Here is a 23163-nt window from a genome sequence, read left to right on the forward strand (position 1 = left end):
TCCCTAGCAGAAAAATTTTTGAAAGTAGTACATGAATTCTGTATAATTAAAATTTTCTTTTCATCTTAATAGGTATAGGTAATAGGCACGGCCTATTTTTTTTTTGCTCAACAGTCTAAAATAGTAATTTAATCACCTAATAGCCTTAGTTATATAGTTGAAAGAAGAGTTGGAAATCTGATTCATGGGTTGGAAATCACCTGTCACATATGAGTTTTAGGCACTGGTCACTTTATTTTGAAACAGCTTTGGGGTTTTTTCCTTTTTCAACTCATAATAGGCTTTAACAGCTTTTAGTTTTGTTTCTGTTTTTTTAACAGCATGAGTTGCCAAATTTGGTTATAGCTTCTTGGTACAAGATGGGTAAATTTGCTTTGTGTTGTGTAATTACTTTTTATTTTAAATGCTACCTCTTTTATGAACACTAACTTTACACTAAGATTAGGAAAATGAGAATTGCATGTCTGCAACAAATAGCTATCTGTAGTATTAAATTGTGAAAATGTAGACTTTGGATTGGAGCTGGCATCTCTTAATATGTAATTGTAACATAGAGTAAATAAGTATTTTGTCCCTTGTAGGGTCAAACAGTACAGTGCATGGGCAGAATTAGAGATGTAGGCTTTTTTTTTTTTTTTTTTTTTTACTGGCTTAGAGAACCGTTTGATCAGCTAATATGGAATTAAGTCCCTAGGGCTGCCCAGGCACAACATTAACTGCTATTAAAGGAAAATTTAAAAGAGTATTAGTGAAGGTTAAATACTGACCATGGACATCTGGCAAAATTGATGTTTTTTTTCCCCTCCACCATTGTTTATAGTTTATTGTTATTTATCAGAGAATTAATGTTTATTTTCAGAATCTATTACCATAAGAAATCTGTTTGAGGACTTCGTATGTGCCAGGAATTCTACTAAATAATGATATAATGCTGAACAGAATTAGATAGGATCCTCACTTCGTTAAGCTTACAGTCTAGTGGTATAGATCAACATTAATCAAAGAATAACACAAATAGAAAGCAGAGCAGTGGTTCATGGGATTGACTGTAGAGAAGCATGAGGGAAGTTCCCAGGTGATGGAAAATACTTTATTTCTTAATCGTGGTGGTTACATGTGTGCATATGTTTATGAAAATATATTGTACATTTAAAGTGGATACATTTTATCACATGTAAATTATGACTCTATAAAGTTAATTAAAAAGAATAACTCAGGTAAGGTGGTGTGTGCGCCTGTAGTCCCAGCTATTTCTGAGGCAGGAAGATCACTTGAGCCCAGGAGTTTGAGTTCAGCATGGGCAACATGAGACCTGTGAGACTTTGTCTCTAAAAAAATTTAAATAAATAACTAAGATAAATGTAAAATTACAGCTGTAGTAAGTTCTACAAAGGAGAGTTACATGGGCTATGACGATGTAAGATAGCAAGAACTGACATTGGCAGGGAGGAAATGATGATGAGTAGAAGTAAATAAGTGAAGTGTGGGGATTGATGTCAAGGGGACAGTATAAAAGAAATAACAGCATGCGCCAAGGCCCTAAAATTGGAAAGTCCTTGGCAAATTAAAGGAGTTTGAAAAAGGCCATTGTGTGCAAAGCAGAAAATAGGTACTACAAGGTAAAAGATGGAGCTAAGCGGTAGGTAAGGCTAAACCTTGTCAGCCATTGTTAAATATTGAATTGTATCCTAAGCACAACTCAGTGGAAAGCAGTTAAAGTTCTTTAATTGGGGGAGGCAATGAAGGGGTAATAAAATTGGTTATAGAAATACTGCTCTGGCTCTAGTGTTGAGAATGAATTGGAGTAGCCAGAGTAGATTCAAGAAGACTTTAGTAAGATTATTCCAACAGGCCAGGACCTGTTATAGGGTGGTGGCAATGGAGAGAGATGGACAGAATGGAGAGTGTATTTAGGAGGTAAAAATGACAGAACTTGGTGATGCACTGAATGTGAAATGGGGAAGGTGTCTAGGAGGACTACTAGGTTTATGGTTTGCGTATTAGGGTGGATGATAGCAGTTTCATTTACTGAGACAGGGAGCCCTGGCAGAGTACCCAGCTTTTAGAGTGGGTAGGGGGAAGGGGAGAGTGCATCTGGTGTTGGGCATTTTGAAGTGATTTACATACAACAAACTGAAGGTATCTTTAACACTGAGTCCAGCAGGTTAGCATATTTATTCAGCAAGCATTGCACCTTTTTTTGTTGTTTTTGGGGTCTTCAACTCCTGGCCTCGAATCCTCCCTCCTTCCCCCGCCTCTCCCAGCCTCCGCCTCCCAAAGTGCTGGGATTTCAGGAGTGAGCCACCGCGCCTGGCCAGCATCGCGCTGTTTGTGCAGTGTGCCCTGTGCTAGGTCTTGCAGTGGGTACCAGTAGAGACATAAAAGTACAAAAGATAATTGGACGTTTAGTAGAGTCCTGAAAGGGGGCGGGATAGGAAGATACCTAACCATAAGAAAAACCAGCAAGAGCGGAAAAGGAGCTAGTCCTCCAGATCAATAAGTTAATCACTTATGTTTGTGATTCCCTGCATTTTGGGTGATTCTCTGTCGAGGTCCTCTTAAGTCCAGACTTTTGATATAATCTGCAGTTTGCGCCATTTGGATTCCTGAAGCATCTTTACAAGCCACCTACATTCCTTATGGAGCTGTGGCACAACAGCAAGCCCACGATGTCTCACCGGATTAATAAAAATATAGGCGCTCACGCTTTTGTTTACCGATATAGTATCTCCTCCTCCCCTCACTCCATCAACCCCCACGCGACACAACTTTCCGGAAGTAAGCAAAATCCGTTATCAAGGTGAAACTCCGGGGACCAGGCTCCACAGCTGCCATAAACTGGATGGCACGTTAGAAGCCGGTGGGTGTAGGTGAGGCACGCTGGCGCCCGCGGGCCCTTCTCCAGCCGCTACCCAGTGGGAATCCGCGGGGCTGAAGCCCCGAAACCAGGCTGAGCGTCCCAGAGCGCAACCTCCCTTTCCCCCAGCAGCGCCGGCGCCGCAGAAGCCGCGTGTCCCCAGGCGCACTCCCCCAAGGTGAACCCCCGCCCCCCACGGAGGCGGCTGGGTCGCGGGTCTGGGCGGGGCGCTCCGGACGCCCTCCCGCCGCTGCGCACCCCTCCCGCGAGCTGCCAGCTCCCTCGGCCTCTCCACCCAAAACTGGCCCAACCGCCAATCGTCTGCCTCTCACCTCCTACAGCAGGTGACCCATGGCCAATCGCCAGGGGTCTCTTTGCCAGGAGCCGCCAGGGCCAGCCAATCGGGGCGACCCCTCCGCCGGGGAGGGGACGGGAAAGGGGTGGGGGGTGAAGGGGGTGAAGGGGGTGTCCCGGGGGACGGGCTGAACCTCAGTCAGGACCGCCTGCACCGCAGTCCGGGGATCGGGTCGAGGGGAGAAGAAAAAGGGGTGCTCGGGAGCAGCCCCCGGCTACCTCCCCTGGAGGCACAGAGGGCGGGGGCCTTGGCGAATGGCTTTCTTGCTGGCCACTTGCGGAGTGAGTAGACCCCGAGGGTCTGGGAGAGGGGCCGGCCCCTACCCCTGAGTCCCCGGGGTCCCGGCCGCCAGGCCGGAGCGCGAATGTCGTGCTCACCCTGCCTCCTTCCCGCCGCCCCCTGGGGTGAGTAGGACGACGTGGCTGCCCGGGCCCCTCTTCCTTGGGAGTTCTCAGTTCCTCAGCCTAGATGGGGTGGAGGCTGAGGTCAGGGCCTCCAGTTCCACCGAGAGGGCATTCGCCCCCAAATGAGACTTTGGAGGAGGTCTCTTTTTTTCTATTCATTTTTGTGGAACTCTGTTTTCCTTTTGAAAGCTGTCTCAGAATATGATTTTAAGCAGAAAAGTTAAGCTTTCTCTTATGTGAAAGCTTAATTTTGACCAGTTGCCCATTAATAGAATCTCCAGTTGCAGGCCAAGTGTTTTTTGGTGGTGGTTTATTTTTGGCACGGTGTTCGTGCCTGGCCCTGTATTTTTTGTGTATAAAGTAATTACGGATGCTATTGTTTTTGAGTATGTGTGTCGGGAAGGAGGTGATTTTACGCTTTTTGGGTAGCTTGTGCAAAAATACTGAAAACTTTGGTATAGTTTTATGGGGTTCTTAGCCCAGCCGAGTTATGGAAAGTTGAGTATAATTAATGGACTAGGAAGCATATTTGAGTAATGCACTTTTTGCTGACATTCATACTGTATTATAAGTATTTGTTATGAAAGGTTGAGAGATGTATTGAACAAGAAAACCAGTTTTGCTAATTTGAAGTAATACTTTGTTTTGCTTTTTGATTAAACTGTTTACTTTTAGCTGTATTAAGGAAGTTAAAATCAAGTAATTCCTAGTTTCTCAGTGGAGAAGCTGGAAGCATCTTAGAATAGTAGTTGTAGTTTTAAAAGTTTTTACAGTGAACTTTGAAACTGGAAATTCTCACGTAGTTAATTATGAATAATCTCTCTTGAACACTGCCTGTATTGAACTAAGTAGTTGATGAAACCCTTTAATGAATACTGTTAGCACCTGTCATTTATTTATACTTTAAATATATTGCTTTACTCCCCCCCACCTTTTTTTTTTTGTGCAGCCCGACAAGAGACAACCTAAATAAAAATACCGTATTACCTTTTCTAGTTCAGGGAAGGTGTATGATTAAAAGTCAGATTTGGGCCAGTCGTGGTGGCTCAGACTGCAATCCCAACACTTTGGGAGGCTGAGGCGGGAGAATTGTTTGAGTCCAGGAGCTGGAGACCAGCCTGGGCAACAAAGCCAGAACCTTCCCCCCGCCCCTGCCCCAATAAAAATTTAAAAATGAGCTGAGCGTGGTGGTGATGTGCACCTGTGTTCCCACCTGCTTGGGAAGCTGAGGCGGAAGGATCCCTTGAGCCCAGAAGTTTGAGGTTGCGGTGAGCTATGATTGCACCGCTGCACTCTAGCCTGGATGACAGAGAGCAAGACTCTGTCTCAAAGCAAAACAAAACAAAACAAAAAGGCGGGCGCAGTAGCTCACGCCTGTAATTACAGTGCTGCCTATAATCCCAGCACTTTGGGAGGCCGAGGCGGCCGGATCTCTTGAGGTCAGGGGTTCGAGACCAGACTGGCCAACATGGTGAAACCCCGTCTCTACTAAAAACACAAAAATTAGCCGGGCGTGGTGGCGGGCGCCTGTAGTCCCAGCTACTCGGGAGGCTGAGGCAGGAGAATCGCATAAACCCTGGAGGGGGAGCTTACAGTGAGCCGAGATCGTGCCACTGCACTCCAGCCTGGCGACAGAGCAAGAGTCTGTCTCAAAAAAAAAAAAAAAAAACTCTTAAAGAAAAAAACAGATTTGTAGTCTGATTTGAGAGCTTAAGTGAGAAACAAGAAAGACAACAGACAAGTTTCATCTGTTTACAAAGTGCCCTGAGTTTGGCTTTGACAGAGATGACGATGAATTTGGAAGTGCCCTTCAGTAAATACGAGGATGCAAAGGCTGTCTACTGGTCACGTTCATTTTGGTATTTCTAAAGTTCTATGATATTTTTAATGTGAAATTTTTCAAATGTTTTTTAATGTGAAAAGATTATTATATTTTGTACGCTCAGCCATCCCCACTTCAATCTCTGTTGATATTAAGATTAGTAGGGAATTTAACTGTAAGTTTGGTTCAGCCAGGAAAGAGCATTATTTTGTTAGCACCATGTTCTGCTGGTTGGAAAGTCAGGCACTCACATGGTTTGCACGCTGTTGATTAAGAAAGGGGACGATGACAAGAAAATCTGATAATCAGGCTTTTGTTCAGAGAAGCAAATTCTAGGATGTCCCCTGGGGTATGTTGAGTTCTATCTGTAGCTAAACTTTATACTGTAGAGCGAAAACAGATATTTATGATGATTCTTATATAGAAAAAAGACTTTGTGATTACTGTAGTATACTTAGAAAATTATATTTAGGAAGCTTTTCAGTAAAGGTTTAAACAAAGATTGTTAAGCTTGAAAGAATAGTTCTTATACTGACAATGTAATTAAGCCACGTATTCCTCCTTAAATATTTTAATGAAGTTCTACCACACACAGGCATTTAAAGCTACTTTCCATCTTCCTTATTTTCCATCTCCAGTCACCAGGTCCTGTTATGTTTGCCTTAGTAATATTTTTCAGATTCGTCACTTTTTTCTAGATGATAATGCTTTAATTCAGGCCATCATGGTCTCTCACCTAGACTTTTGCAAGGCTTTCTGACTAGTCTGTCACTGGACTCCCCTTACCCCATCCTTTTTATCCAAAAACAAATTTGGAATGGGTTGCCGCTCTTATAGTTAAGAATGTGTTTTGGCTCCTCCTTGCCAGAGTCCAGCTGCCCAGCATGTCCTGGAGGCCCTTCTTCATATTCTGGTCCTGATTTATCTCTGAGTCCAGACTCAGCTCCAGGTGCTTTACCCACGGCATCCACTGTGAACTGTTTCTCATTGAGAACATGCCATAGCCTCTCACAGTTATTTGTCTTTTCACAGCCTTTCCTTCTTGCTTAGATTACCCCACTGTATCTCAAGTGGTAAGCCTCCAGTTCTTCCTTAGCATACAGCTCCTGTGTTAACCTTTTCTATGATGCCTTCCTTCAGGCAGGGTGAGTTTGTTACTCTTGTGTGTGCTACTACAGCACTTTGCTCATATCTCCATATCACAGCCTTCACTAAGTTGTATTGTAAATTTTTAAACATATGTGATTCTTGCATTAAACCCTGATTTCCTAGAGATCTGGGGTTCTCACTCATCTTTGTATCCCCGGGGCCTTTGTCCCTAGTTTAGTGCATGGCACATAGTAGGTGTTCAGTAAGTGCTTAAGTGATCAAAATATGTGACGATAATAGCTTAAGTGTGTAAACCTTTGACTCAGTTTTACTGGAGTTAGGTTTTTCCCTGTGAGTTAAAAATGCTTCCTAGGTCACCAAGCTCCCTGGTTGCTACCAGACATGAGAAACGGGGGATTGGAAAAATGTTTAGAAACAGTGCTAAAAATGGTGAGCAGGGCCGGGTGCGGTGGCTCACGCTGTAATCCTAGCACTTTGGGAGGCCCAGGCTGGCAGATCACCTGAGGTCAGGAGTTGGAGAGCAGCCTGGCCAACATGGTAAAACCTCATCTCTAATAAACGTACAAAAATTAGCTGGGTGTGGTGGTGGGCATCTGTAAGCCCAGCCACTTGGGGGGCTGAGGCAGGAGAATTGCTTGAACCTGGGAGGAGGAGGTTGCAGTGAGCCGAGGTCACACCATTGCACCCCAGCCTGGGTGACAGAGCGAGACTCTGTCTCAAAAACAAACAAAAAAAAAAGTGGGCAGACTTCCAGGACTCCCCACCTTCCCCTACCCAATCTATAGGACCTCTAACATGATTAAAATAATACTAATAGTAGTACGAGTACTAATTGGTTCTGGAGTATTGTTAGTATCATAGGAAAAAGCATGTAGGCTAGCTAGAATGTCAGGGAAACTGCTTTAAAGGTGAAATTTGAGCTCATTCCAGATGATTAGGTAATGCTTAATTATATTTGCTATTAATATTATCTCTATTGTCCTTAAAGACATCCTTTGAAGATGATGATAGTACCTGGCCATAATAGACATTAAATAAATATATGTGTCATGAATGAATGGTTTGGTTGCTCTGTATGTGTGTGTATACATGTGCGCACGCAGGAGAGAGAGAAGAGAACTGTAGTTCCTGCCATATTGGAGTTCATTTATTTCTGGAGACACCTTTAGGAACTTGGCTTCTTTGCTGTATTGACTGAACAACTCGTTTTTCCCAAAATGTGCCACTTCAATTAAGTTATTCTGCTTACTCCGTTGTTTCTTTGCATTCTCTGCATTCCAGAGCATGTTTTAAAATCTGGTTGTGTTAGTCTTTCTCACTCAGTTTCAAGGTTACACTAAATGACAGAGTTTGCTTGTGTTTTGACATATTTTGTCATACCGTGGAGGACTTGGCTGCAGTTGGAACCTGTAAATTCTTACTGTGTTTATTTAAATGAAATTAATTTTTATTAAGGTGAATACACGGGCCCCAGGTTTTCCAATATGGTTAGGAATTTATCCTCCTGGTGAACCTAGTTGTTTACCTGGAAGTATTGGCATCACACAATCCTAGAGCTGGAGAGAATTTTCAAATTCTAATTCCATTTCTACCTTTTTAAAAATTTTTATTATTGTGGAGAAATCAGTCTCAAAGCAGCTAAACGACTTGCCCATGGCCACATAGCTAGAGAGTAAATGACTAGGGCCAGAGCCTAGATGACTCTTGCTCTTTTATTTTCTCCAGAGAGACTCAGGGTGCTGCCCTGGTAGTCTCCACCCCTTGGTCGCCTTTCCCCCCCAAACCCTAGTACTTATTCCCATTTTTAGCCACTAATTTTGGTTTCCTTGAGATTCAGCATCCAGATCCAAAAAATATACATTCTTCTGTAACAGAATATTGTTCCTCAGTTGGCCTCCTTGTGCTTCTCAGCTCCTCAGTTTGGGAATATGCCTTTTCTGGTTATTCTCCATTTTCTTGCAGATTTGTTCTCTGGCCTTCTCTCTTCCGTGCTCTAGGAGGCTGACTTTTACAGCTTTCAGCATCTGGGATCCTTTATCCCTTGGCTTCTGGTTGGGGTTTAGCAAATGGGAAGCAGTGACAGAAAATGGAAGGGAAAAAAGGCCTTTGGAGTATTTGTTCCTTCTGCTCCTTCCATGCTTTGAGGCAATTCTGGCAGTGACTGTTTTACAGCCGTCCATGTCCACTGGCCGGTGGGAACCTTGTTTGTTTCCTTGCCCCTTCAGGCTACTTGCAGCTCTTAATTCCTGAGTACCTCAGCATCTCTTGTTAGTTTTCTTAGCCCTACTCTCACTTCTGTGGGTACTGTAGTCACTTGATTAAAGAAAAGTTCAAACATTGTATCTGATTATGCTGTTTCCTGCCAGGGCCCACTAGCCCGGTGGAGTACTGCTTTACCCCTCCCATTTCTGTCCAAATCCTACACTCTAAATTGCATCCTCTGTGAAAGCTTTCTCGTCCTTATAACTTTCTCCTTTGAATTTCTTCGTGCTTTTCTGATAACATTTTACCATGCTTGAATCAATTATTTGTAGACAGATATATATTCCCTCTAATAGAATGAAACTCTTTTAGATCTGTGTCTGCTTCATCTTGGCATCCCCAAAGGATCCGGCACAGGGCCATAGTCATAAGAGATGCTCAGTGAATAAGTAATTATTGTAACACTGAATTCTAAGGTCCAGCATAGTATGTGTAAAAATGTGCTCAGGATAAGATTTAGTGTGAGATAACGAGTTTTTAGAGAGACAAGAAGATTGTCATTGCCTCATCTTGTTTCTTGTTTTACTACCATTTATTTCAATGTGTTTTTCTCCTAGTTAGTTTCTCTTTCTTCTTAAAAACGTTTAGCCTTGGAAAAATTCAGCAGCCATACATTACAGCAACCAACTAATATAATAAATCCCTTAAAATAACTCTATGAGTTATTTATGATTTTTCCACGAATATTCTGATTTATAATCTGCAAGAACTAGTTCCTTGATTACTTTTTGTGTTTAAATGTTAACAGGTGGGCACATTGCAGAATTCCTTAATTCATTTACAAAATTTTTATTGAGGACTTGCTACAAACCAAACACTAGCCCGGTGGAGATAGTAGAGAATAAAACGAAGTCCTGTTTTCATTGGCTTGTATTTTATATCATCTTGATAGATTCTGACAATTAAACTAAATCAGTAATTTTGTATGCACTTTTTAACAACTTTAGCGAAAACCGAATCTGTTTTCTTCTGGTACTCATTGGCAGCTAAAATTAGATATACGAAGACAGCTTTGGCATATATAATTTCTAAGAGATAAATGTCAGAACAATTGTTGAGTCTATTCAAGTCAGGGTCGTTGTTTTATTTTGTTTGCCTGTGACTGATCATCTATCTGTTAGTCCTGACTAGCTATCACCTTGAGTGTTAATTTGTCAATTTGTTATATTCTGCTGTAGAGATTCAGTCTTGTTAGATTAATATATCAGGTTTTGTTTTTGAAAACATTTCATAATCAAATTTTCAAGAAGTATTAGGCTATAAGAATTTTGCAGTTATTTCAGAACCTGAACTAACTACTAAAGTACTCAGTTTAAGGATTCACGTATTTAATGTTAATTTTTCCTAGTTATTTGTAGAACACATTTCCAGGAAATTTACTCATTTTTGATGGATCCTTAAAAGTAGACTCCAGATAGGCTTTCCAAAATGCTCTTAATCTGAGGTTGGGGAATGGAAGAATATTTTTCTTTCATCCTGTACTAGTAAACCTCTCAGAGTTTATTTAGATCCTGGAATGATTTACTCCATGACTTCTAAGAAAGATACTGCAAGTAGCCTAACCAACTAAAGTATCTCAGAAGAAAAGTGTTGGCTGATTGCCAGCACTACATAGTCCAACAGTGCTTTTGTTAGGTGGTGTGCTGTAGTAGGTGTTTTCTTCTTTAAGAGATTGCTTTCTTGGATGTTGAGTCATGATCATGTTGTTGGCAGGAAGGAGGTGGAAAAAAAAAACTTTGCCATTTTGCTTGGTTATATTGGCCACTTTTCATTATTTTATTTATTCCAGTATAGTGATTACGAAGTTTTAAGTGCTTTTTGCTAGTGCGTGCTTTACCTTTAAATGATATTATAAATTTGCTATCCTACTTTTTTGCTTGGAAAGGTGTATCTGAGCAGCTTTAGCATTTGCCAGATTTACTCCTGGAAAACATTTTATAATTTTATAGACAATTTCAAAAGAATAATGCTTATGACCTTGCATGCTAAAATGGTTATAAAATTTTCTAAAAATGTTCATAACCTGTAGCTTCTGAACATTTTTACCTAAAGCTTTTGAATGTAAATTATAAAATAAATGCATATTTATTTTAAAAAATTAAACAACATGAATGTGTAAAATAAAAACTCAGAGTCACTGTCTCACATGCCCTCATTCCTCAGTCCCATTCCCTAGGGGTAACTGCAGGTGTTTTGTTTCTTTTGTTTCATGTGTTATATTTCAGGGGTGTGTGTGTGTGTGTGTGTGTGTGTGTGTGTGTGTGTACATTTTTTAAAATGAAACTTCTAGTGCGTAAGTAAAATTACATAAAACTGCAACTTGAGTATTATTCATGTGTGTACTTATCTAGCATAAGGTAAGCACTCAGTTAATATTAACTGCATTGAATTCCAGTGTCTTTTATTTCTGTAGCTTGCTTTCTGCATTCAGAACCTGTAAACTCATTTCATTTTAGGTTTTGTAGTTTTTTAAAAAGGCAATTTGCTGGATTCTGAATCATCTGAGGCAATTTTATATGCCTTTCATAACATTTGTGTCTTAAAAATCCTAGCTATATCCTATATAGAGAGGGTGACCATGTAATTTATTGCCTAAACTGGGATACTTGAGAGTGAAGGAGGCTGCTAATAATAACTTTGCTGAGACAACCAGGCATAAACTGACCATCCAGGCAAACTAAAATATACAGTCATCCTATTTACAGACTTAAGTTTTTTGTTTGTTTTGGTTAGTTTAGTAACTTCTTATATGGGTTTGTTGAATAAATTGGGAGTGTCTGGGAAAGACAAGCTGTCAGTGATTTAAATAGAGAAAAATGGTACGAATTCCAGACCTTTATTGTTTAGTTGTATAAGTAACCAAATCACTTTATGGAGTTAGTATTTGTGTTTTGTTCTATAAGTCAAAGGGTGTATTAGTATCAGATGAGGGTATCATGAAGAGTAAGGAATTGTGCTAAGGGTTATGATTGAAGTTCTTGCATTTTAGCTGTACCCGATTCCTGTACCAGATTTTAGCTGTACCAGATTTATTTTTTAGCAGAAACTGAACATTACACATAAACCTTTCTTTGTAAATTTAAAGATAAACGCAATTCTGGTTTTTCAAAGCACTAACATATGTTCAAAAATTAGATTCTTTTATGAAAAAAACTTTCTTTATATTGTTTGATTCTTTGTTACCAAGGTAATAATTAAGTACAGTTTACCTTTTGTGGTTCAGTCATAATACCCAGTGCTTTCCTGAACATCTCATATTGGAATATTTTTCCTGCTCTGTTTTCCATACTGTGTTTTACCACTTGTTTTGTCTGTTATTCATTTCTTTTTTATTACCATTCTCTATTATCTTCTTGGGAGTTCATCAACTTATAGCTTGTTTTTAAAACAGATGTTAAATACAATTTAACTTATGCTTATAGCCTTTACTTGATTGTAGATCTATATGAAAATTGCCTGTGGTTATAGTATTATCTAGTTCTTGATTCGTTTTGTTTTTATCCATCCGTACTCATTGAGTGCCTTCTATGCGTAAGGGCCTGGAGATATAGTGGTGAATCCTGGTTATCTAAGGCTCCAAATTATGAAGGGGAAGTAGAACACCTACCACTGTGTTACTTTACATGTATTACTCATTTAATCTCTCCAGTAACCTTGAGTAGTTTATTATTATACTCATGGATGAGAAAATGTAAGTGAAAAAAGTAATTTGGCTAGATCACACAGGTAATTCATTAGAAAGTTGCAGATTCAGGATTTAAAACTAGATGAGTCCTTAAAGCTGTGCTCGTTTCCACTATGTCAAGGGCCTTCAGGCAGTTTTTAGATTACATTTTAGTGCCCTTCTGTCATTAATTCCTTTTAAACATCATTGTGATTTAATAGAAAAGTATAATGGATTTGGTCAAAGGACTAGGTTGATATCCCAATTGAAAAAAAATTCAGCTGGATGATTTGGGTAAGCACTTATAAAACAGGTTTAATATCTGTCTACCTTACTGTATTATAATGCTCAAATGAGAAAGCTTGTAAAGTGTCTAGTAGAGTACCTAATACTCTGAAAAAAATTTAATATACATTGTGCATCCATGATGTTAGAGCTGCTTACTTAGCATTACAGAAAAAGACCTTACTTTTCAGGGCATTCTTGAGGTACCTAGCAGTTGGTAAGGTAACTACAGCTACCATGTTGACAATAAAGAACCTAATTTGAAGCCTTAGATTATCAAGACATTGGTAAATGGAAAATAACTTCTCTAAGGTATAGTGAAAGGAAAGGTTTAATACTAGGCTCAATTTTATGGATATTTTTTAATTGATGATCTTCACTCCAAATGAATTGATAGTTGACTATTCCTTAGGATTAAAAGAGATGAAAATCTTAACCCCAGAACTTCCCTGTTCTTCTAAGTCCTGTTCTTCCCTTAGCAGAAATGGATAAACCACGGGGACAGTAGGGATTGTAAATGTTTCCAAATTTTCAGTAATCCAAGGAAATCACAGATTAGTGTGCCTCACATAAAATCATGGTATAAGTAATATTTCTGGTCTCTTTAATATACTTTTTTTCATCGTCAAACCACTTTTGGTAGGGAGACAAGATGTCATTTCTCTAAAAACTTAATTTGCTAACTTAAATTTCTAAGAAAGGCCATTATGTTTGGCATAATCTTTTTTTTTTTAACTTGCCACTTGCTGCTCATGTACCTACTTTTCCTCTGTGTAGTTACAGATTTTTCTCTTACTATTCCTTTACTTGATTATTGATGTTAGACTCACAGCATGGTAACTTTCTATTCTCTCTTTTCCTTACTTTTATGGAAGATCAGTACCACACTTGCTTTTTTCCAGTCTTCTGGTATCTCTCCAGTTCTTGAATTTTCAAAAATAATTGTAAGTGATTGAATTGTAAGTATGCTCTATACTTCTTTCATTGGATGAAAGCTTATCTGTGATGCATGTCATCTCAAATTGCTAATTGTGAACATAAACTTTCCAATATTCTCATATTTTAATCAAAATTACATTCCTGCTAAGTTTTCATTAGTTTTATTATAGGGTATGTGTTTTACTAATTAAAAAAAAATGTCTGCTTTTGTCCAGATTCATGCCATTTATTTTTCATTAGGAGGCTTGTTGTGTGTTTTTTCTTTGTTAAGTTTTTAAGCTATTGTTTAATTTACAGTTCTACTACTGATAACTTACCTGTTTTTCTTGTTATTCTGATTTTTTCTATGAGACAAAGAATAACTTACTTCTAATATATTTTCTTTTTCTCTTTTTACAACATATTTTTATTATATATGATTTTGCCCTATAAGAAAGTACTGCATATAGGACACTTACTCCTTTAAGTTTTCACTGTGAAATAAAATTAGATATGAAAACAATTATTCATTTGTGAATTTCTTTTTACAATGTTATTACTCAGCCTTCCTGTTCTACCTTATTCTCGGTTCCTCAGGTTGCCCATAGGTTTCTTAATTTCCGGATTCTGGACTCAAGAACTTCACCTTTATCTCCACTGTTCATTACTCTTCCTCTGTCAGCAGGAATTACTTTAAAAGCTCCTACTCTGCCTCAGGAATTGACTCTTGTGTTGTTTTACTAAGGAAGTGTCTCTCCAAAGCAACTATAATTTATATGCACTTCAGACAGTTTTAAGGACTTCTCTTGCAGTACTCCTTTTAATGGGGGTAAAACATTCAGTTACGTGTATGTGTAAAGTATAAATAGTGTTTAATGTCCCAACTGAAATCATTAAGAATTGATTTTGCTGACATTTGTTAGCTTTTAAGTTCCTTCTGAAAAAAGTAGTGTTATTTAACTTAAGTATTAGAAAGGTAGTAGGAAGTACCGACATACAGTTTTGAGGCAGTTTGATATTCTTCTACAAGTCTAGTTATATTATTTTAGAAATTCCCCTTAAATTGGCCCAGATGTGTATGTTTCTCTTTCTCTCTCTATTAAACTGGATACATAGATTCTGGATGATATAGAAGTATGTGTTATTCTTCTTGACTTTATGTATCTACTTTAGATTTTGCTTCTTTTCTTTCTCTCTTTCCCTCTCTCCTTCCCTCCTTCCCTCCCTCCCTTCCTTCCATCCTTCCTTCTCCCTCTCTCTCCCTTCCTTCTTTCCTTCCTTCCTCCTTTCCTTTCCTTCCCTTTTTTCTTTACTTCCTCTTCCCCTTGCCCTTCCCTTCCCTCTCTCCCCACTCCCTCCCCCAACCTCTCTTTCTCTCTCTTTCTTTCTTTTTTTTTTGAGGGTCTTACCCTGTGCCCAGGCTAGAGTAGCTTTATTAATAAAGTGTTTTTGAAAAACAGAGACTTTTTTTTTTTAGCATATTCACCACAGAAGTGGTTTTTCTTTACATAGGTTTCTAAATTTTATGGTTAGATTGAAGTTTAATTTCTATTGAGATTCTTCTAATTTAATTTCTTGTTACATCACAGACCATTTTGTCTTTATTTCTCTATAATTGTTGTGTATAATTTAAACTTTAAATGAATTCATACAGGAATCATCTAATTAGAGCTGTGGCTCACATCAGTGTAATAAACCAAAGAGCAGCAACCTCTTTGGTCCTGAGTGCCAATAATGCGACATAATCCCTTCAGTTACTACTGAAGGACCTGGACAAAAGAGAAAGAAAGACAACATGGAGAAAAGGCTTGAGGGAGTAGAGAATAGGAGAAAGAGAACAGAAAGGTAAGAGAAATCTCGGGAGAGGAGGTCGGGGGAAGACCGATGTTGTGGCATCAACAATTTCCAGTCACTGTAGCCAGCGCCATGTGTGTTCATTTAACACTGAGCTGGCCCTGATGGGTATAGTGATGAATGAATGGCATAGTTCCTGCCCTTGTGGAGTTTTAATCCTTCAGAGAAGTCACTCAAATATTCAATTATGATAAAATGTGATAAATGTTAGAGCAAGTACAGAATACTAGAATGTGTATCTACTTGACTCCCAGCTTACTTGTTCTCAAAAGCTACTGTAAGAAGTATGAAGTCACACTGTCTGAAAGAATTTGCCCTATTCTCAGTTCTTTTCAAAGACAGACCACCCTCAATATGGTAAAGGACTATATTCTTAGTCCTGTTTAAAACTCGGCCGGGCGCATTGGCCCACACCTTGTAATCTCAGCACTTTTGGGGACACTGAGGTGGGAGGATTGCTTGAGCTCAGGAGTTTTTATTTTATTGCGGAGACAGGGTCTTGCAACATAGCAAGACCCTGTCTCCACAAAAAAAGTAAAATAAAAAATTATCTGGGCTTGGTGGCACATGCCTATAGTCCCAGCTACTTGGGAGGCTGAGGTGGGAGGATTCCCTGAGCTCAGGAGGTTGAGTCTGCAGTGAGCCCTGATTGTACCACTGCACTCCAGCCTGGGTGACAGAGCAAGACCCTGTCTCAAAAAATAAATAAAAATAAATCTCCATTAAAAAGGATTAATATGAATAAGTGTTGTGGCTTAGTGTTCTAAATGTTGAATGGAAAGAGAAACAGTTAACACTTCAGGAGAATTTTAATGAAATATTCTACATTAGGAAGTAGTGGGTTTCTCATCTCATGAGATACTTAAGACAAGACTAGATGACTTTCAAAGATGTTATGAAAAGAACTTCTGTGAATGGGAGGTTGAATTAGGTGACTGCTGTAAGTCACAATATAAAGTCATACTTGTGCTTTCTTCTAGAGTATTAGTTTTACTAGATTTGAGAAAACACTTGTTAACTACTTGTTCATGTTATCGATGAATTTTACATGATATTTTATTGGTTGCAGATGGGGCAACTATATACATAAATTTTCCTTTTAAATACATGAAAAATTTTTGCATTACTATGCAAGGGTGATTGGGCCAGTTCTGGGACTGTCATTATAAACCTCCTGTTACACATTACCTAAAGAAAAATGGATTGATGAGTAGATCTTTGGCTTGGACCTTGTGAAGTGTGAAGTTTATTCTAGAGTTAAAAGAAGGTTATGGAAGACTATCTAGAGGCAAGTGTAAGAAGAGAGTCAAGGTGAGGTTTATATGATTCTACAAACATCAAAAAGTTGTTTCTGAAGAATTGATTTAGGTAAGGTTTAGATAGCAGTAATTTAAATCTGTTTCCATTCAGTCACTGAACAATTTTTAATCTAATCGGTAATTTGTTTAAAAAGGATGTTTTAGTTAGATTTTTACAATGTTAATTCTAAATGGATTCAGAAGAGTGAAAATACTTAAAGATCACTTTTCCCCTCTCATTTAGATGCTTTTTTTATTCATTTATGAATATGCCATTAACCTTTTAAAATATTTACTAAAAACAATGTATTTAGCTGATTTTAACTGGGTCTTGATAGTTAATTATTGATAATCATGTTACATTGCTGTGTGAAACAAAACCAAAAAACAAGCCAAACAGTCCTGATTTTTCTGTGGCACAGTAACATGGAAATAAGTTGCTCATTTCTTTCATAGTACAGTACTCTAATATCTATGAAATATGATGTACTTATCCATTTCTATGTCTTTTGTCACCAAACTGTATATTTTAAATGTCTCTAACAGGAACTTCTTTGGGTTATCTTTAAAAATGAAGAAGTTTAAACACAGTTTTATAAATATATCTGGATTTTGTATACATTGTTTATTAAGATTTTTTTTTTCAACTTTTGTTTTTGTACATGTCATCTCATTGGGAAGGGGCTTTGTAATACTCATTGTCAAACAGTTTCTTGATATGTATGTAAAATAGACATTTATCGCCTTTGAATTTGAAAAAGAAAACAAATTATGAGATAAGTTGATTTTTCCCATGGTCTTAATAGGACTTAGATTTTTAATAAAATTCTATTTTTTCTTTGGTTCCAAATTTTTGAATTTTAGTTTGGGAAGAGCAACAAAAGTACTATAATAGTAGTAATTGATAGTGTCATTAGTTGTTGTCTTTAGTAGAGGTAGTAGCTGCTGTACTAATAATAGGAGGAGGAGGATGCCCGTATTTGGCTGGCAAGAAAACCCAGATTTGGACAGCCACAATATTGTGTTAGTGAATGCACTAGAATTAGAAACCAGATTTGCCAGCCCATTACTGTTTCCATAATACCATACCATCTTAATTTGATGTTTTGAGATAATGGTTGTAAAAGTGCTTTAATGATAAAGTATACAAAGATCAGGTGTTGCTGTAATATAAAATAAACTTTGGCTTCAGTTTACTAAAATGAGAATGTGAAAATAATCAGCATGCTTTGGGCGAAGGCAGGGAGGAGATGACAAGTGAAAGTCAAGTGTGAGATGGGTATGTTGATCAAGTATATTTTACCCATTTAGTGCAGAATTTTGTGGTTGGGTTGGGATTTTTACAGTAGCAGTTCCTAACCCTCAGTCCCCTGCTTAACAGTATGATGACTGGGCATGAAAATGTGGCAGTCAGAGAAGATTAAGAACTCAAAAGTTTCTTTTGGCTAAAGTTAAAACATAAGAATCCCATGCTCTTGGAGCTTAAACTCTTTACGTATGCAAAAAGTAGGACATGCAAATGCTGCACTTTTAGACCGAGAAATAAGTAGGCCTTCTAAATAAATAAACATCTATACCACGTCTAAGTGTAGTGTTCATGCCAAGGGTGAAAGTGAGTAGGAAACTTGATTAGGACAGGTGTTGTTACTTTCACTTAGAGAGGGGCCACCTCTTAGAAGAGGAGAAAATTTAGAGGTTCTTTCTTTAGTAGGGGAGGAGGGAGGAAAACTTCAGAGATCATGGGGTGGGTTGAGGAATGGGAGAACTAAACAGTGAGAATATGAAGTTAACATTAAGGGAAGGGAGGAATGAACTGAATGAAAAAGGGGAAAATAGAAGTAACCTAGGTGGGTTTTGTTTATGTTCCTTTGTTAAATTACTGTTGTTCTAGTGGTGACTGGGAGCCAATTACAGGGTTTGGGGGAGATAAGAAAGTGATTCTGGAGAGAAGAGTAAATCCAATTTGAGCAGCAGCATGTGTAACTGCTGAGAAGGGAAGCAGTGCTCCAAGTTAATGAGGAAGATTGATGTACCACTGTTTAAATAGACCTAACTGTTAAATAGACCTATTATTTGTGTCAAAATAGAACTGTATTTTAAAAATTGAAATGTCTTCATGTATGAAGGGAAAAGTATTTTTTGTACTATTAAACTTTGCTTGGGTTCTGGTAGATTTATTGCAAATTCTCTTTCTCTAGGGTTTGGATTCAGGATTTGTTCCTAGTGTCCAAGATTTTGATAAGAAACTTACAGAAGCTGATGCTTACCTACAAATCTTGATTGAACAATTAAAGGTATGGCATTAGTTTGTATATTAAATTTATATAAATAGAAAATGTTACTGAGCTTGATTTTTGAGTAAAAACAGTTACTTGATGTTAATTTACAGCCCTCATGTGGTTCTTCAGCAGTTTTTAAAGCAGACTTAAAAGATCTAGCTGACTTATTCAAAGGTCTTTATCTCTAATTATATTGGTAAATAGCATATTTACATAATGCTTTTTTGGTCATTAAGAAAAAAAAGGTAAATATGTAGGCATAATTAGAAAAAAATAAGGCAAGATTTGGTTCATATTCTGTTTAAAATTTCCATGAAACTGTGTTTTAGTGGCTCAATTTCTTTTTTTGTTTGTTTGTTTTTTGAGACAGAGTCTCACTCTGTCACCCAGGCTGGAGTGCAGTGGCACGATCTCAGCTCACTGCAACCTCCGCCTCCCGGGTTCAAGCAATTGTTCTTCTGCCTCAGCCTCCTAAGTAGCTGGGATTACAGAGGTGCCCGTATTTTTAGTAGAGACGGGGTTTCGCCATATTGGCCAGGCTGGTCTCGAACTCCTGACCTTGTGATCCGCCTGCCTCGGCCTCCCAAAATGCTGGGATTACAGGTGTGAGTCACCGTGCCCTGCCTAGTGGCTCAATTTCTAACACTTTTTTAATTTGAGGGAGATGGAATATGGGGAGGTGATTTCTCTACCTCTTTTATCATTACTGAAATGAATTGTCTCCTTCAGTTCCTACTTAAAATTAATTAAAAGCAGAGGTGCTGGGAAAAGGACTGTTGATAAACTTGGAAAACAAAGCAGAAAAAAAACTTCAAGTTTGAATTCATAGTTTAATTTTTTAAAAGTCATCTGTTTTCTTTTGCTTATAATTCTTCCAGAGTGATTGATCTTGACCAGTTAAAATGATTTCATACAATAGAATTTGACTTTGATTGAGTGCTCGAAAAAAAATACATGTTGTCTTGAAAATAACATATAAATCATCCCTGGACAAAATGTGTTTAAGAACAAATGTTTGTTTTTCTGTGTTTAGTGAATGTACATCGTATAGTAAAGTGGCTTGATACTATAACCATTTTTTAAAATCTTGTAGCTTTTTGATGACAAGCTTCAAAACTGCAAAGAAGATGAACAGAGAAAGGTAACTTCCATAACCGTGCTTTTGACGTTAAAAATTTTAAATTCAGCCTTTTGGAGAACACTAAGTATCTTAGTGTGTTTTTACTTACTATAATAATATTATTGACCTAGTGTAATATTACTGCCATATGGACCTCAAGGGTACTTTTCTGATAAATTTCTGTTATGGTTTCATAATTAAACAAAAGGATAATATACAGAGTTGTGGAGTTTTTTTGGTTTTGTTTTGTTTTGAGATAGTCTTGCTCTGTTGCCCAGGCTGGAGTGCATTGGCACGATCTCAGCTCACTGCAACCTCCACCCTCTGGGTTAAAATGATTCTCCTGTCTCAGCCTCCCAAGTAGCTGGGATTACAGGCATGTGCCACACCTGGCCAATTTTTGTATTTTTAGTAGAGACAGGGTTTCACCATGTTGGCCAGGCTGGTTTCGAACTCCTGACCTCAGGTGATCCACCCACCTTGACCTCCCAAAGTGCTGGGATTACAGGTGTGAGCCACCACACCCAGCCCAGAGTTTTAATATAATACCTTTTCTGTATCATATTCCTAGGAGTAAGTTATTTCCTTTTCATGTATCATATGTTGAAGGTAGAAAGTTGGTTACATATGGTCACTTCAGATACCAATAAACCAACCAGCAAGAATGTTCAGAATAAATAAAAAGCCATATATGAAGAAACAAATCAAATACTGCTTTAATTATGGTTCTGCTATTGTCCCCCACTTGCATTTCTGACAGCTACTTTGTAGTTTGCATATTGTCTTTTTTCTAATTAACATTTTTCCTCTCCTTGGCTTTTTTTTTTTTTTTTTTTTTTTTGCTCTTCTGTTGACTGTATAGCCTTGCGTTTGGCTCTTTTATACCTGTTAATAGTAACTCATGTTATAACTCACCTTTCATTTTTAGTTTTGGGATTTAGTCCCATGTCGTTTTAAAACAACTTAGGAAAGATAAATGTGATTTTAAAATAAGTGAAATTCGTAGAAAAGCCAAAACTTGCTTTCAGGTAAGGAATAAGAATTTTTTGTTGTTGTTTTTTGTTTTGTTTTGAGATGGAATCTTGCTCTGTCGCCCAGGCTGGAGTGCAGTGGCGTGATCTCGGCTCACTGCAAGCTCTGCCTCCCAGGTTCACGCCATTCTCCTGCCTCAGCCTCCCAAGTAGGTGGGACTACAGGTGCCTGCCACCACGCCCAGCTAATTTTTTGTATTTTTAGTAGAGGTGGGGTTTCACCATGTTAGCCAGGATGGTCTCGATCTCCTGACCTCATGATCCGCCCACCTCGGCCTCCCAAAGTGCTGGGATTACCGGCTCAAGCCACCGTGCCCAGCCAGGAATAAGAATGTTTTATATTATTCTTACAAACCTTAAATTGAATCACGTGAATTTTATTAAAGAGAACATATAATTCATAAAAGTCTGGAATTTTTATACAAATAATTGATTTAGATAAAAAACAAAATACAACAAAAAGTACTCCCTTCCCAACTTGCTTGTACTCACTTAGAATGAGTACATTTTGGTAAAATTCTTTAAATGACTAGCCAGTAAAAAATAACCGTCCTTCTTTGTGCTTCTGATTATTTCTGTTTAAACTTATTATTTTTCACAGAAAATTGAAACTCTCAAAGAGACAACAAATGTAAGTTATATGTTTGATACATTCTGACTTTGCATTAGAAAATGTTTTAAAAAGTTATTTCTATTTTAAGCTGCCACTATTGATGACAGCAATTGAGATGTTAGTTTTTATGAATATTATACAGGGGTGCTTAAGCATTGTATTTTTTTTTAAAGGAATTTAAAATAATACTAATAGAATAAGCCCCTTAATCGAAATTGACTTCATGTACCATTTACCTGTTTCTGGTCTCGTTTGAAATCTTGATAAAAGGTGTCTTCCACGCACAGTGGATATGTTATTTCATATTTTAAAAAAAATAATTAATTTCTTTGATTCTTAAGGCAGGGTCTTACTATGTTGTCCAGGTCTCAACTCCTGGGCTCAAGCGATCCTCCTGCCTCAGCCTTCAAAAGTGGTGGGATTGGCCGGGCGCGGTGGCTCACACCTGTAATCCCAGCACTTTGGGAGGCCGAGGTGGGCGGATCACCTGAGGTTGGGAGTTCCAGACCAGACTGACCAACATGGATAAACCCCATCTCTACTAAAAATACAAAATTATCCAGGCGTGGTGGCTTATGCCTGTAATCCTAGCTACTCTGGAGGCTGAGACAGGAGAATCGCTTGAACTGGGGAGGCAGAAGTTGCAGTGAGTTGAGATCGTGCCATTGCACTCCAGCCTGGGCAACAAGAGCGAAACTGTGTCTCAAAAAAAAAAAAAGTGATGGGATTATAGGCATGAGCCACTGCAGCTGGCTTCTTTCTTATTAAAATATATTATAATTCAAGTTTTCTGATATAGTGGACTTCTGACATTATATAATGGGCTACTTATGAGATGTGTACCTTGCTCAAAATTTTAAAACAGGTAAAATAATAATTTGATTCACCAGTGTTTTGACAGGATCCTTTATTCTCCATACTTCCATCAAAGTCTTTTTATTTTTTTTTAAGAAACAGGGTCTTGCTGTGTCATCCAGGCTGGAGTACAATGGTGCAGTCATAGCTCACTGCAGCTTCGAACTCCTGGGCTCAGACAATCCTCCTGCTTCAGCCATTTGAGTAGCTAGGGCTATAGGCACACGCTACCACACACAGCTAATTTTTATTTTAATTTTTTATAGAGATGGGATTCTGCTATGTTGCCTAGGCTGGTCTCCTAGCCTCAAGCGATCCTCCTTCCTTGGCCTACCAAAGCAGTGGGATTACAGGTGTGAATCACCATACCCAGCCTATCAGTGTCTTAGGTAGATTTCTTAGGGTTGCTTGCTGTTGATGTAAGAATTCGTAAGTT

General features: G+C 38.4%; 1 protein-coding gene across 16 annotated transcripts in view, besides 5 other annotated features; it reads left to right on the forward strand.

The window, feature by feature from the left end:
- OSBPL9 (oxysterol binding protein like 9) overlaps positions 1-23163 on the forward strand; it is a 270948-nt gene that overhangs the window by 208237 nt on the left and 39548 nt on the right. For 9 of the 16 annotated variants that reach the window (NR_036662.2, NM_001416294.1, NM_001416293.1 and 6 more), the window contains 3 exons: positions 19028-19123; positions 20202-20249; positions 21861-21890. Coding sequence is in view for 9 of the 16 variants with exons in the window: in NM_001416294.1 (NP_001403223.1) it covers positions 19028-19123; positions 20202-20249; positions 21861-21890 (174 nt within the window). In the remaining 7 variants the exon portion in view is untranslated. Of the gene's footprint in view, positions 1-3341; positions 3617-13634; positions 13704-19027; positions 19124-20201; positions 20250-21860; positions 21891-23163 lie in introns of those variants that run through there. The other 7 variants (NM_001350210.2, NM_001330580.2, NM_148904.4 and 4 more) reach the window with 4 other exon arrangements.
- Positions 2928-3347: a silencer, noted in NCBI's record as "silent region_879". NCBI's record gives its function as "represses an Ori minimal core promoter by ATAC-STARR-seq in GM12878 lymphoblastoid cells {active_cell/tissue: GM12878}" and the evidence as "EXISTENCE:reporter gene assay evidence [ECO:0000049][PMID:35858748]".
- Positions 2928-3607: a biological region, named in NCBI's record as "H3K27ac hESC enhancer GRCh37_chr1:52195252-52195772".
- Positions 3072-3592: an enhancer, noted in NCBI's record as "H3K27ac hESC enhancer chr1:52195252-52195772 (GRCh37/hg19 assembly coordinates)". NCBI's record gives its function as "activates a minimal SCP1, AML or CMV promoter by ChIP-STARR-seq in naive H9 embryonic stem cells {active_cell/tissue: H9 hESC(naive)}" and the evidence as "EXISTENCE:reporter gene assay evidence [ECO:0000049][PMID:30033119]".
- Positions 3558-3607: a silencer, noted in NCBI's record as "silent region_880". NCBI's record gives its function as "represses an Ori minimal core promoter by ATAC-STARR-seq in GM12878 lymphoblastoid cells {active_cell/tissue: GM12878}" and the evidence as "EXISTENCE:reporter gene assay evidence [ECO:0000049][PMID:35858748]".
- Positions 4813-4862: a silencer, noted in NCBI's record as "silent region_881". NCBI's record gives its function as "represses an Ori minimal core promoter by ATAC-STARR-seq in GM12878 lymphoblastoid cells {active_cell/tissue: GM12878}" and the evidence as "EXISTENCE:reporter gene assay evidence [ECO:0000049][PMID:35858748]".

Source organism: Homo sapiens, chromosome 1 (genome assembly GCF_000001405.40).
Source record: "Homo sapiens chromosome 1, GRCh38.p14 Primary Assembly".
Taxonomy (NCBI): domain Eukaryota; kingdom Metazoa; phylum Chordata; class Mammalia; order Primates; family Hominidae; genus Homo; species Homo sapiens.